We start from the raw sequence: 14,104 nt of genomic DNA on the forward strand, positions 1-14,104 counted from the left end.
TTACAGTCTCCAGGGAAAAAATATGTGTTTTCCATTTCCCAGATATTATGGCTGTGGTCTGGTGATCCCTGAGCATCTAGAAAACTGCTGGATTTTGGATCTGGGTAGTGGAAGTGGCAGAGATTGCTATGTACTTAGCCAGCTGGTTGGTGAAAAAGGACACGTGACTGGAATAGACATGACCAAAGGCCAGGTGAGGCATGATTTGGAAGACAAGGAGAAAAAGATTCTCAAAAGCATTATTTGAAAAATAAAGTTGTTTTCTTCGTGGCTCTTCAAGGATAATTTAAGAAAGCTTCTAGTTAGCAATGCTCATTTGTGCCACTAGTGCTTCCTGTCTTGGAAACTGATAACTTGAACAATTAGGGGTTCTTCTGGGCGAACACAAGAGTCGGAGGTTTGCTCTGATATGAATATCGTGACGATAGAGTGGACTTTGATCTTTCCCTTCTTGCTGCCATCTATCCTGAAAGATTTTGTTATTGAATGAGGAGTTTATTCAAGCCAAACTGCACGGGCAGCAGGGAGTTTATGTCCCAGGTTGTAGTATATCCTACGTGTCCACAGGAATCTTGTATGTTTATCCAAAATAATCTAGGGGAAGTATATTCTGTTAGTGATAGGAAATTTTTAGGAAAAAGTTGTGTATTTTTTTCAAAATGTTATCAAAACTATATTTTTCTTACTTTAGGTGGAAGTGGCTGAAAAGTATCTTGACTATCACATGGAAAAATATGGCTTCCAGGCATCTAATGTGACTTTTATTCATGGCTACATTGAGAAGTTGGGAGAGGCTGGAATCAAGAATGAGAGCCATGATATTGTTGTGTAGGTCTATATTCTTACTGTTATGACTATAGCCCATTTTCTTTATTATTATTATTATTATTATTGAGATGGACTCTCGCTCTGTCACCCAGGCCAGAGTGCAGTGGCCCAATGTCAGCTCACGATAACCTCTGCCTCCCGGGTTCAACTGATTCTCTTGCCTCAGCCTCTCAAGTAGCTGGGATTATAGGCACACGCTACCACATCCAGCTAATTTTTTAAATCTTCTTTTAGTAGAGACAGGGTTTCACCATGTTGGCCAGGCTGGTCTCAAACTCCTGATCTCAGGTGATCCACCCGCTTCCACCTCCCAAAGTGCTGGGATTACAGGTGTGAGGCACTGTGCTCAGCCCTCATTTCCTTTTGAACACAGAGATGTCACTATTACTGTTTGCTGAATTGACTCTCATTTAGGGTGTTAAACTAAACTTAGCATGGCTTACTAATGGGAGAGAGCTGGTTTGAGCTGCTGGAGCTCACCAGCAGCAGAACACACCAGACCAAGAGGGAACTTACTTGAAACTTAACCACAAACCAATGAACCCAAAAGACCAGCAGGACCACTAAGTTTGCTCCTACAATACATGCTGACCTGTATCTTTCATAATATTTTCATGGTAAATTATAGGATTCTATTTCCTTTTTTCCCTCAAGTTGTTATTGTCAAATCATGCCCAAGTGACAGCTGCCTTTGAGGAACATAGCCTGTTTACGTGAAGCATAAGAAATGCCTTGTGCCGGCCAGGTGCGGTGGCTCACGCCTATAATCCCAGCATTTTGGGAGGCCGAGGCAGGTGGATCACGAGGTCAGGAATTCCAGACCAGCTTGAACAACATGGCGAAACCCCGTCTCTACTAAAAATACAAAAATTAGCTGGGTGTGGTGGCACATGCCTGTAATCCCAGCTATTTAGGAGGCTGAGGCAGGAGAATCACTTGAACCCGGGAGGCGGAGGTTGCAATGAGCCGAGATTGCGCCATTGTACTCCAGCCTGGGCAACAGGAGTGAAACATCCTCTCGGGAAAAAAAAAAAAAGAAAGAAATGCCTTGTGCAGTAGGCATCTGGTCTGAGGTTTCATCTTGTTACATGGTGAACATCAGGACAGAAACAAGTAAGAATCATGCCTGATGTTATTTTCTGCACATTCAAACTTGCTAACAATTTATTGAGATTTTAAGCACTCTGTCTCTGATCTTGGGGAAAAGCTTAGTTGAAGGCATTAGAAAGAGAGGAGGGAGGCGGTAAGAATGGGGTAGCTTTGACAGAACGGTGGGAACCACCTTTAGGGTCTGAAAGGATTTGCAGATCTCTGAGTGTTGTGAAGATTTGCTCGACATTTCATCTGTTCTCTTTTAGATCAAACTGTGTTATTAACCTTGTGCCTGATAAACAACAAGTGCTTCAGGAGGCATATCGGGTGCTGAAGGTGAGGAGGAGAGTGAGATAAATTATCTTTGAACATCAGTAAGAGCTGATGGGTTAAGTCTTGTTTGTTCCCCCTTGAACTAAGAGCTCAAACTCTCTTAATTTATCCATTAAATGAATAAGGGGTGGCAAAAGGGGGAAGGGGCAGGAATACCCCGGATATGGATTACTTTCCCTCTTAGGTTGCAAAAGGTAGTAAATCCGAGGTGACAGTTGTCACTGAATGTGTTAAGGTATTTGCTTTCTTGACTGTCTCTCCTATTTGCTGCTGTACATGATCCTAGAAGAGCATCTGTGGAGCTATAGGAATCTTTGCACTGACTACTAATGATTGCTTTGAATATACTCTCTTCTAGCATGTACAGTGTTTCTCAGGGCTTCTGATTTCTTATCTGTCATGATTTCAGATCTTTGGGAAGTTACAGAAGATGGAACTTTTACATTAACTACTTGCTAAAAGGAAAGCTTGCAGGAGCTCCACAGCCTTCATTGTATCATGAGATGTGTATCTTCATGATAGTAGATGAAATATTCAGCCAGGTGCGGTAGCTCACACCTGTAATCCCAGTGCTGTGGGAGGCCGAGGCGGGCAGATCACCTGAGGTCAGGAGTTTGAGACCAGCTTGGCCAACATGGAGAAACTCTGTCTCTACTAAAAATACAAAAATTAGCTGGGTGTGGTGGTGCGTGCCTGTAATCCCAGCTCCTCGGGAGGCTGAGGTAGGAGAATAGCTTGAACCCAGAAGTCAGAGGTTGCAGTGAGCCAGGATCGTGCCACTGCACTCCAGCCTGGGAGACAGAGCGAGACTCCATCTCAAAAAAAAAAAAAAAAAAAAAAGATTCTAGCTGGGTGGGTGGTACATGCCTGTACTCCCAGCTACTTGGATGCTGAGGCAAGAGGATTGCTTGAGCTCTGGAGTTTGTGTGCAGCTTGGGCAATATAGTGTGATCACTGCCTCTAAAAAAATGTTTTTTTTTTTGAGATGGAGTCTCACTCTGCTGTCCAGGCTGTAGTGCAGTGGCAGGATTTCATCTCACTGCAACCTCCGCCTCCTGGGTTCAAACAATTCTTTTGCCTCAGCCTCCCTAGTAGCTGGGACTACAGGCGTGTGCCACCATGCCCAGCTAATTTTTGTACTTTTAGTAGAGACAAGATTTCACCATATTGGTCAGGCTGATCTTGAACTCCTGATCTCATGATCTGCCTCAGCCTCCCAAAGTGCTGGGATTACAGGCATGAGCCGCTGTGCCTGGCCAAAATTTTTTTTTAAATTGACAACAGATTTTTGAGATTTTTGGTTTACAAAGCTGTCATAGAACTCAAATACAAATATCTATATAGAAATGATTTAATGATTTAGTGATGTCTTTGTTAGTATGTCATTTTACACGCCAGTTCACTATCTCCACCAAAAATGTACTTATAAAAGGTAGAAACACTATTATAGAATCTAGATCTCCAGGTTTCCAGGTTTTTGAAATTAGCTAAATAAAATGTTAAGTTCCTGATCACTCATTTGCCTTACATTTTAAGGATAATATTTTAAAGATAAAATGTGTTGTTATAAAAGTAAATAACAACATTACAAAAAGTTATATTTTTTAATAGAAATGGGGTCTTGCTGTCACCCAGGCTGGAATGCAGTGTCACTATCTGTACCCCTCTAACTCCTGAGTTAGAGGGGTCCAGATAGTGACACTCACTGTACCCTCTAACTCCTGGGCTCAAACAATCCTCTTGAGTAGCTAGGACTCCAGGCACATGCCACCATGCCCAGCTAGTTTTTAAATTTCTATATGGGAGAGAGGGTCTTGCTGTGTTGCCAAGGCTAGTCTCAAACTGCTCTCCTCCAGCAAGCCTCCCACTTCGGCCTCCTGAGTCATTGGGATTAGAGGCCTGAGCCATCATACCTGGCAAAGTTATACTATTCTTAAGAGATAAAAGATTATGAATACTGATGATATCCTCTGTTCTACAATGACCTGGGGCTGCTTTTGGTTCAGATTGGCTAAAAATTTAAATGTAAGTAACCTGAAAATCTTTATTTAGGAGACAGACACTCTTAGAATGTGATTTTATTACCTGTTGGATAAGCCACTGGGAGGAAAAAAAACCTTGGCACTTGACTATTGATTGTAACTAAAGAGGCAGCTGCTATTTGTTCACAAAGGGTCAGCTTAAACATTGCTATTGATTTTTAAATTTGATTTTGTTCCCCTATTCCTTTCTTTGTTATGTGGGGTCAATGTAATCATTAATCATCTTGTTTGGACTAATATGCCTCTGTTTCAGCATGGTGGGGAGTTATATTTCAGTGACGTCTATACGAGCCTTGAACTGCCAGAAGAAATCAGGACACACAAAGTTTTATGGGGTAGGTGATTTTGTTTAGTTTAGTATTAAGGCAGATGGTTGTACATGTGCAGAACTCCTTTCTGCTAATAGCCAGGATGAGGCTATATGAGATCACATGGGGTTAGGCCATGAGGCCAAGGTTCCATTCTTCCTCTGCCATTCAAAAGTGATAGGGCTTTGGATAGTTTAATTCATCTCTTTGAGTTATCGTTTTCCAAATTGTAAAATGTAAATAATAATACAATCTGCCTTATAGGGCTGTTATGAAGATTAAATGGGATAAAGAATGGGAAAAATACTTTGAAAACTCTAGTGTGGAAATGAGGACAATTGTTCCCAAGCTGGTGTCCTCTTAGTCCCCTTATGTTCTCATCATTATTGTGTTCTTTATTCCTTTATTATCATTTTAATAGTCTGGAAGTTGAGATAAATGCATGCTTTTCATCAGTCTATGAAATCAAAAGTTCTTATTCTTAAAATAATATTAACTTTATTCTTACTATGTAATAATAAATAGGTACCGTTAACAAGTTGGAAAGTGCCAAAAAAAAAAAAAAAAAAGAAAAAATTACTAAGCTGGACACAGTGGCACACACCTGTAACCCCAGATATTTGGGAGGCTGAGTCAGGAGGATTGCTTGAGCCTAGGAGTTCAGGTACAGCCTGGGTGTCATAGTAAAACCCTATCTCTTAAAAAAATTACTTATAATCATATAACCCAGTGATAACTTCTTTTTTTTTTTTTTTTTTTTTTGAGATGGAGTCTCGCTCTGTCACCCAGGCTAGAGTGCAGTGGCGCAATCTTGGCTCACTGCAACCTCCACTTCCCGGGTTCAAGTGATTCTCCTGCCTCAGCCTCCCAAGTAGCTGGGATTACAGGTGCATGCCACCATGCCCAGCTAATTTTTGTATTTTTAGTAGAGATGGGGTTTCACTGTGTTGGCCAGGCTGGTCTCCAACACCTGACCTCATGATCTGCCCACCTCGGCCTCCCAAAGTGCTGGGATTACAGGCATGAGCCACCGCGCTCGGCCTATGATTTATTTTTTATACTACTTTATTCACATAACAGTGCTTTTCAGAATGTGGCGTACTGCATACATGAATATTATGCTTGCAGCTGAGTAGAACCAATCCACCAGTGAGTGTCCTGAAGAATGGTTCCTAGAGACCATCAGCTAGCACACCCAGTCTTAACCATGGCTTTCTAGACCTTGGAGGGATGCTCAAGTTAGCTTCTACTGCTAGGATCTATGTTTTAACTAATACCATGTCCTAATTAATTATATAGAAGAATAGTTCCCTTAATACTGTATTAAGTGTTGGCTGGTCTGTGGTTTTTTGTTGTTGTTTGTTTTTTAGGTGAGTGTCTGGGTGGTGCTTTATACTGGAAGGAACTTGCTGTCCTTGCTCAAAAAATTGGGTTCTGCCCTCCACGTTTGGTCACTGCCAATCTCATTACAATTCAAAACAAGGAACTGGAAAGAGTTATCGGTAAGATATGACAGACAGCAGGGACTATTATAACTACAGCTTGAATGATTGAAATGTGGTGATTAGTAAGTAACTTCTGAAGGAGTCTCATTGAGGGATACTTTCTGTTATCTGGAAATAGCTATCTTGCCTCCTGTACAATGGTAACCCCCCAAAAATTTTGATATTTAATAAAGCACTTTGAAGTCATTCAGTAAATAGAGTGAAGTGCTCAGAAAGATAACTGATGACATGCAAGGAAGAAAATCATCTTTATAACGTGTTTGCTCCTTGTCTGCTGAGCAAGGCAACAACTGGGGGAGTGCTGGAGATGAACCGTGAATAAATTCTATTTTTAGGTGACTGTCGTTTTGTTTCTGCAACATTTCGCCTCTTCAAACACTCTAAGACAGGACCAACCAAGAGATGCCAAGTTATTTACAATGGAGGAATTACAGGACATGAAAAAGAACTAATGTTTGATGCCAATTTTACATTTAAGGTAAATAAAACAATTTCCATGACTTCTGGTATTCTTTCTGCTCTTGCCCTTGCTCCAGCTATCTTTTCTTGACTTTGCATTGCCTCCCATTTTTCTGGTGTTGGTTTGTTTGTGTGTGTGTTTAAATGTATGTGTGTGTTTCAAGTGGAGTAAAAAAGCATTTTTTCCCCAATACTTATTTATTTATTGACAGGGTCTCGCTCTGTCACCCAGGCTGGAGTGCAGTAGCACAATCATAGTTCACTGCAGCCTGACCTCCTGGGCTCAAGCGATCCTCCCACCTCAGGCTTCTGAGTAGCTAGGACTACAGACTCATCACCACACCTGGCTAATATTTGTATTTTTTGTAGAGATGGGGTTTTGCCATGTTGCCCAGACTGGTCTTGAACTCCTGGGCTCAAGTGATGTGCCCACCTCAGCCTCCCAAAGTGCTGGGATTACAGGCGTGAACCACCGTGCCCAGCCCTCAATATTTATTATAAAAATGTTTTTGGCCAGGTGCGGTGGCTCACACCTGTAATCCTAGCACTTTGGGAGGCTGAGGCAGGCAGATTACCTGAGGTCAGGAGTTCGAGACCAGCCTGACGAACATGGCGAAAACCCATCTCTACTAATAAAAATACAAAAATTAGCCGGGCGTGGTGGTGGGTGCCTGTAATCCCAACTACTCTGGAGGCTGAGGCAGGAGAATTGCATGAACCCGGGAGGTGGAGGTTGAGGTGAGCTGAGATCATGCCATTGCACTCCAGCCTGGGCAACAGAGTGAGACTCCATCTCAAAAAAAAAAAAAAAAAAAGAAGTTTTTGAATACAGAAAAGTTAATAGTACAATGAATACCCACATAGGCATTACCTATATTTCAGCAATTGAGAACATTTTTCCATGTTTGTGTGTTTATATGTGTATATATATATATATATTTATTTGCTGAGCCATTGAAAATAAGTTGCAGATATTATGACATTTTACCCTTAAATATTTCAGCATGCGTCCCATAGGAATGTAATATCCCTCTGCATAATCACAATACCATTACACACCTAAGAAAACTTTTTACAAGAAGCCTCATTCAGACATTGGATTAATAGGGCTATAGAGAAGTAGGATGGAAAAGAGTAGGAGTATGTACAATAGTATTTCAATTGTTTAATTGTGTCAAGGAATTAAGAAATTTTAATGTTGGATGATGGCACTAATTGGCATTTTTACTGCCCTGTGCATAGTAAGATTTGTTTTCTCAAAATGGAAAAGTTCAGGCTTTGGAATCAGATACCTGGGTTCAAATTCTGGCTCTATTATTATTGTTTTTTATTTTTTTTTCTGAATGTCACTAGACAAACTTTTATTGAAGCATAAATTGTGGTACAGAAATACATTTTAACTGATTTAAGTCCAACACCAGTGAAAGGAGAGATTATGGCACCAAAACTTTCCCTTTCCTATCATACCATGATTTAGATTATGATGCAATCTACATTTCTCTTTTCTAGGCTTTGTCCCATACAAATTTGGGCAGTTTTTCAACATTAGAATTTCAACATTAGAATTCTTAATTCTATTAGGAAAAAAAGCAACAAAAAAACCAGACCTCAAGTCAACAAATCTATTGGATATTGTTTATGAACGAAGTCCACGTTAAGCATTGGTCCTCAAAACAGAGCTCCTCAAAATATTAGGTGCTGTGCTCATTACAGAATCAAACTGATCACACTGATTGAAAACTTCCTCAATGAAATTTTCAATCAACAACATGCTTCAAATAAAAGTCAAACAGTGTTCCAACCACTTGACTTCAAACCAAGTAGATTTTAGGTTTAGAAACACTAAAAAAAGGTGTTTCATTTATAAATACAGAAGGAACAAAAACATCACTGCATCAATCCAGAAATTATCAAAATATTTAGAGGACAAGAAATATAAAATTTAGTCAACTTTGCTGCTTTCTCAGTTCCTTAAAATCCCAGAGTATCTGCAAATATAGCTAAAAAGTACCAACTCTTGAAAGCCTATATTACTAGTCATTTCCCATTGAGTATTTTGGAATTTTATTTATGTTCTACTTATTTATTCATGTATTCTGCTTTATGATGTTTATCTGAATAATCTGGACAAATTCTCATTCTGGGCAGTCATTCGTTTCATCCTATGAATGCCATGGTGAGGGAAACAGTGTAGTTAGAGGAACAGATGAAGTCAGAACACTCACATGCATCACGGTCACAGAACTTTAAGTCACAAGACAGAAAAGAAATCGATTCTGCTTTGGATCAAAGTTTATAGAACACTACTTAATGGAAACTAGTGGAAATGGCTGCTAAAGGAAAAGTTAAGGTGAATGATCCAAGCTGACTTGATTACTGAATCCAGAACAAAATTATGCTAAATCTCTCTGGTAATTAACTAAATAAAAATCATTTTATACTATTATTTAGTAAGTTAGTAAAGGCGTGCTACTCATTAGATGCTAATCTCATTTACTGAGGAACACAGAATTGTATATGTTTTCTGGCTCTATTATTTATTACTTGGGTAAACTTGAACAAGTCACCAAAATTCGTTGGGTTACAGTTTGTTCTACTGTAAAAGCAGGGATAATAATACTTACTTTGCAGAATTTCTATAAGGATTAGCAATAATGTAGCAAAACACTGGGTACATACTGCAAGTTCAGTGAAAAGAAGATACTGTCATTATTTGTTCCAAAAGTGGAAGAACTTACTATTAATATTTCATTTTTCTGATTTATTTATTTATCTATTTTAGAGACAAAGTCTCTCTCTGTCACCCATGCTGGAGTGTAGTGGCACAGTCATAGCTCACTGTAACCTCAAACTCCTGGGCTCAAGCGATTCTCCCATCTCAGCCTCCCAAGTAGCTGGGACTACAGGCATGTGTCACCATGCCTGGCTAATTTTTTATTTTTATTTTTTTGTTGGTGAGACAGGTTTTTTTTTTTTTTCTTTTTTGAGACCAAGTCTCGCTCTGTCACTCAGGCTGGAGTGCAGTGGCCCGATCTCGGCTCACTGCAAGCTCCACCTCCCGGGTTCACGCCATTCTCCTGCCTTAGCCTCCCAAGTAGCTGGGACTACAGGTGCCCGCCACCACACCCGGCTAATTTTTTGTATTTTTAGTAGAGTTGGGATTTCACCGTGTTAGCCAGGATGGTCTCAATCTCCTGGCCTCGTGATCCACCCGCCTCGGCCTCCCAAAGTGCTGGGATTACAGGCGTGAGCCACCACTCCCGGCCAAGACAGGTTCTTATATTGCCCAGGCTGGTCTTGAACTCCTGGCCTCAAGCAATTCTCCCACCTCAGCCTCCCAAAGTTGCAAGCATGTGTCACTGTGCCTGGCTTCTTCTGATTTTTTTGGTCTAAATAGCATCTCCAGATTTCTTTTTTTTTTTTAATTTAAAAAATGTATTTATTTCTTTATTTAGACACAGGGTCTTGCTATGTTGCCCACACTGGGGTACACTGGCTATTCACAGGTGTAAGCATAGCCCACTATAGTCTTGAACTCCTGGCCTCAAGGGATCCTTCCACCTCAGCCTTCCAAGTCTGGGACTACATCTGGCTAAGCATCTTCAAATTTCTTATTTATTTATTTATTTATTTTTGAGATGGAGTCTTGCTCTGTTGCCTAGGCTGGAGTGCAGTGACTCAATCTCAGCTCACTGCAACCTCTGCCTCCTGGGTTCAAGCCGATTCTCCTGCCTTAGCCTCTCGAGTAGCAGGGATTACAGGCGTGTGCCACCACACCCAGCTAATTTTTATATTTTTATTAGAGACAGGGTTTCACCATGTTGGCCAGGCTGGTCTCGAACTCCTGACCTCAGGTAATCTACCCGCCTCGGCCTCCCAAAGTGCTGGGATTACAGGCGTGAGCCACTGTGCCCGGCTGCATCTTCAAATTTCTTAAATACTCCTTGGTATAGTGGAGCCCTTAATGCTTTTCACTAATGCACTGCTCCTTGATGTGCTGCCTATTCCAGTAGATACACAGAATCAGAGTGGTAAGGGCCTTTGAAACCATTGATTTGTTCTAGTGGCTTTCAAAAACCATTTTTAATACAATTATTTTTTAAGCAAAATGTTTTATATATATATATATATGGTTTTTTTTTTTTTGAGATGGAGTCTTGCTCTGTTGCCCAGGCTAGAGTGCAGTGGTGCAATCTCGGCTCACTGCAACCTCAGCCTCCCTGGTTCAAGTGATTTTCCTGCCTCAGCCTCCCCAGTAGCTTGGACTACAGGTGGGTGCCAACGCACCTGGCTAATTTTTGCATTTTTAGTAGAGACAGGGTTTCACCATGTTGGCCAGGCTGGTCTTAAACTCCTGACCTCAGGTGATCTGCCCACCTCGGCCTCCCAAAGTACTAGGATTATAGATGTGAGCCACTGTGCCCAGCCAGAAATGCACTTTAAAAACCACCAGTCCTTGCCTGGGCATGGTGGCTCACACCTGTAATCCCAGCACTTTGGGAGGCTGAGGCGGGTGGATTACCTGAGGTCAGGAGTTCGAGACCAGCCTGATCAACATGATGAAACCCTGTCTCTACTAAAAATACAAAAATTAGCCGGGCGTGGTGGCGTGTGCCTGTTATCCCAGCTACTCGAGAGGCTAAGGCAGGAGAATCGGCTTGAACCCAGGAGGCAGAGGTTGCAGTGAGCTGAGATTGAGTCACTGCACTCCAGCCTGGGCAACAGAGCAAGACTTCATCTCAAAAACAAACAAACAAAGAAAAAACCCCCAATAGTCCAAAGCCCTAATTTTCCCCCCATTATTTATTTTTTTAATGGGCAAATTTTAAAAATTGTATATATATTTATGGTGTACAATGGGATGTTTTGACATATGTATACATTATGGAATGACTAAATCAAGATAATTAAAATGCATTACCTCACATACTCACCATTTATTTGTGATGAGATCAAAGTCTACTCTTTTAGCAATTTTCTTTTTTCTTTTCTTTTCTTTCTTTATTTCTTTTTTTTTTTTTTTTGAGGCAGAATCTTGCTCTGTCGCCCAGGCTGGAGTGCAGTGGCACAATCTCGGCTCACTGCAACCTCCACCTCTCAGGTTCAAGCGATTATCCTGCCTCAGCCTTCCAAGTAGCTGGGACTATAGGTGTGTGCTACCACACCCAGCTAATTTTTTGTATTTTTAGTAGAGATGGAGTTTCACCATGTTGGCCAGGCTGGTCTTGAACTCCTGACCTCAGGTGATCCCCCTGCTTCAGCCTCCCAAAGTGCTGGGATTACAGGCGCGAGGTGCCCAGCCTTTTAGCAATTTCCAATACATTGTTATTAACTATAGTCACCATGTTGTATAATAGATCTCTTTAACTTATTCCTGATAACTGAAATTTTGTATCCTTTAACCAACATCTATCCTGTTCCACCCCTGCCCTCCCACCCCCTACCCCCAGCCCCTGGTAAGAGCCTCTACTCTTCACCTCTATGAGTTCAACTTTTTGAAATTCCACATATAATCTAGCGAGGTTATGCAGTATTTGTTTTTCAGTGCCTGCAGATATGACATTTTTGGGTTCAACTTTTTGTTTGTTTTTGAGATGGAATCTCACTCTTGTCGCCCAGGCTGGAGTGCAGTGGCGTGATCTTGGCTCACTGCAATCTCCGCCTCCTGGGTTCAAGCCATTCTCCTGTCTCAGCCTCCTGAGTAGCAGGGATTACAGGCGCCTGCCACCGTGCCCAGCTAATTTTTGTATTTTTAGTAGAGACGGGGTTTCACTATGTTGGCCAGGCTGGTCTCTAACTCCTGACCTCAGACGATCTGCCTGCATTGGCCTCCAAAACTGCTGGGATTACAGGCATGAGACACTGCGACCGGCCAAACATTTTTTTAATGCATAATAGATGTACATACTTTCAGGGCACATCTGATAATTTAATATATTCATATAATTTGTACAGATCAAGTCAATGTAACTGGTATATCCATCGCCTTAAACATTTGTCTTTTCTTTATTCTAGGAACCCATTTGAATTATTCTTTTCTAGCTATTTTGAAATATACAATAGATTATTGTGAACTATAGTCACCCTACTGATCCATCGAACACTAGGTCTTATTTCTTCTTATTAAACTGGATTTTGTACTCATTAATCAAGCTCTCTTCATCCTCCCCACTCTACCTGGCGTCTGGTAACCACCAATCTACTCTCTATTATCATGAGGTCCACTTTTTTAGCTCCCACATATCAGCGAGAACATGTAATATTCGTCTTTTTGAGGTTGGCTTATTTCTCTTAACATAATGACCTGCAGTTCCATGCATGTTGCTGCAGGTGACAGGATTTCCTTCTTTTATTTTATTTTATTTTATTTTTTTGAGACAGAGTCTTACTCTGTCTCCCAGGTTGGAGTGCAGTGGCGTGATCTTGGCTCACTGAAACCTCCGGCTGCCAGGTTCAAGTAATTCTCCTGCCTCAGCCTCCTGAGTAGCTGGGACTACAGGCGCGTGCCACCACACCCAACTAATTTTTTTTTTTTTTTTTTTTTTTTTTTTTTTTTTTTTTTTTTTTTTTTTTTTGAGACGGAGTCTCGCTCTGTCGCCCAGGCTGGAGTGCAGTGGCGGGATCTCGGCTCACTGCAAGCTCCGCCTCCCGGGTTCACGCCATTCTCCTGCCTCAGCCTCCCAAGTAGCTGGGACTACAGGCGCCCGCCACTACGCCCGGCTAATTTTTTGTATTTTTAGTAGAGACGGGGTTTCACCGTTTTAGCCGGGATGGTCTCGATCTCCTGACCTCGTGATCCGCCCGCCTCGGCCTCCCAAAGTGCTGGGATTACAGGCGTGAGCCACCGCGCCCGGCCCACTAATTTTTGTATTTTTAGTAGAGATGGGGTTTCACATGTTGGCAAGGCTGGTCTCGAACTCCTGACCTCAGGTGATCCGCCTGCCTCGGCCTCCCAAAGTGCTGGGATTACAGGCTTGGGCCACCGCACCAGGCCAGGATTTCCTTCTTTTTCAAGTCTGAATAGTATTCCAGTGTGTACATATACTACTACGTTTTCTTTATCCGTTCATCTGTTTGAGTCTTCTTTTTTTCTTAGTTTAGCTAAAGATTTATTTTATTTTTTCAAAAAACTAATTTTTCATTTTGTTGATCTTCTGTATTTTTTTAGTCTCAATTTCATTTATTTCTGCTGTGATGTTCTTTCTTTCCTTCTACTAATTTTGAGTTTGATTTGTTCTTGCTTTTATAGTTCCCTCATGGGCATTACTAGGTTGTTTATTTGAAGTCTGTTCCTTCTTTCCTTCATTCCTTCCTTCCTCCCTCCCTCCCTCCCTCCCTTCTTCCTTCCTTCCATTCTTTCTTTTTTTTTTGAGAGGGAATCTCGCTCTGTTGCCCAGGTTGGAGTGCAGTGGCGCGATCTCAGCTCACTGCAACCTCCACCTCCCGGGTTCAAGCAATTCTCCTGTCTCAGCCTCCCAAGTAGCTGGGATTACAGGCATGCACCACCACGCCTGGCTAATTTTTTTGTATTTTTAGT

General features: G+C 41.5%; 1 protein-coding gene and 1 long non-coding RNA gene across 2 annotated transcripts in view; both read left to right on the top strand.

Moving 5' to 3' along the window:
- The window catches only part of BORCS7-ASMT (BORCS7-ASMT readthrough (NMD candidate)), a 47,690-nt gene that overhangs the window by 18,196 nt on the left and 15,390 nt on the right, over positions 1-14,104 (top strand). Inside the window, exons 8-13 of the long non-coding RNA NR_037644.1 lie at positions 43-193; positions 692-828; positions 2,187-2,256; positions 4,549-4,630; positions 5,974-6,105; positions 6,444-6,586. This is a non-coding gene — a long non-coding RNA (BORCS7-ASMT readthrough (NMD candidate)). The remainder of the gene's footprint in view (positions 1-42; positions 194-691; positions 829-2,186; positions 2,257-4,548; positions 4,631-5,973; positions 6,106-6,443; positions 6,587-14,104) is intronic.
- Positions 1-14,104, top strand: part of AS3MT (arsenite methyltransferase) — a 32,430-nt gene that overhangs the window by 2,936 nt on the left and 15,390 nt on the right. The window contains exons 4-9 of the mRNA NM_020682.4: positions 43-193; positions 692-828; positions 2,187-2,256; positions 4,549-4,630; positions 5,974-6,105; positions 6,444-6,586. Coding sequence (NP_065733.2) covers positions 43-193; positions 692-828; positions 2,187-2,256; positions 4,549-4,630; positions 5,974-6,105; positions 6,444-6,586 — 715 coding nt within the window. The remainder of the gene's footprint in view (positions 1-42; positions 194-691; positions 829-2,186; positions 2,257-4,548; positions 4,631-5,973; positions 6,106-6,443; positions 6,587-14,104) is intronic.

Source organism: Homo sapiens, chromosome 10 (assembly GCF_000001405.40).
Source record: "Homo sapiens chromosome 10, GRCh38.p14 Primary Assembly".
NCBI lineage: Eukaryota > Metazoa > Chordata > Mammalia > Primates > Hominidae > Homo > Homo sapiens.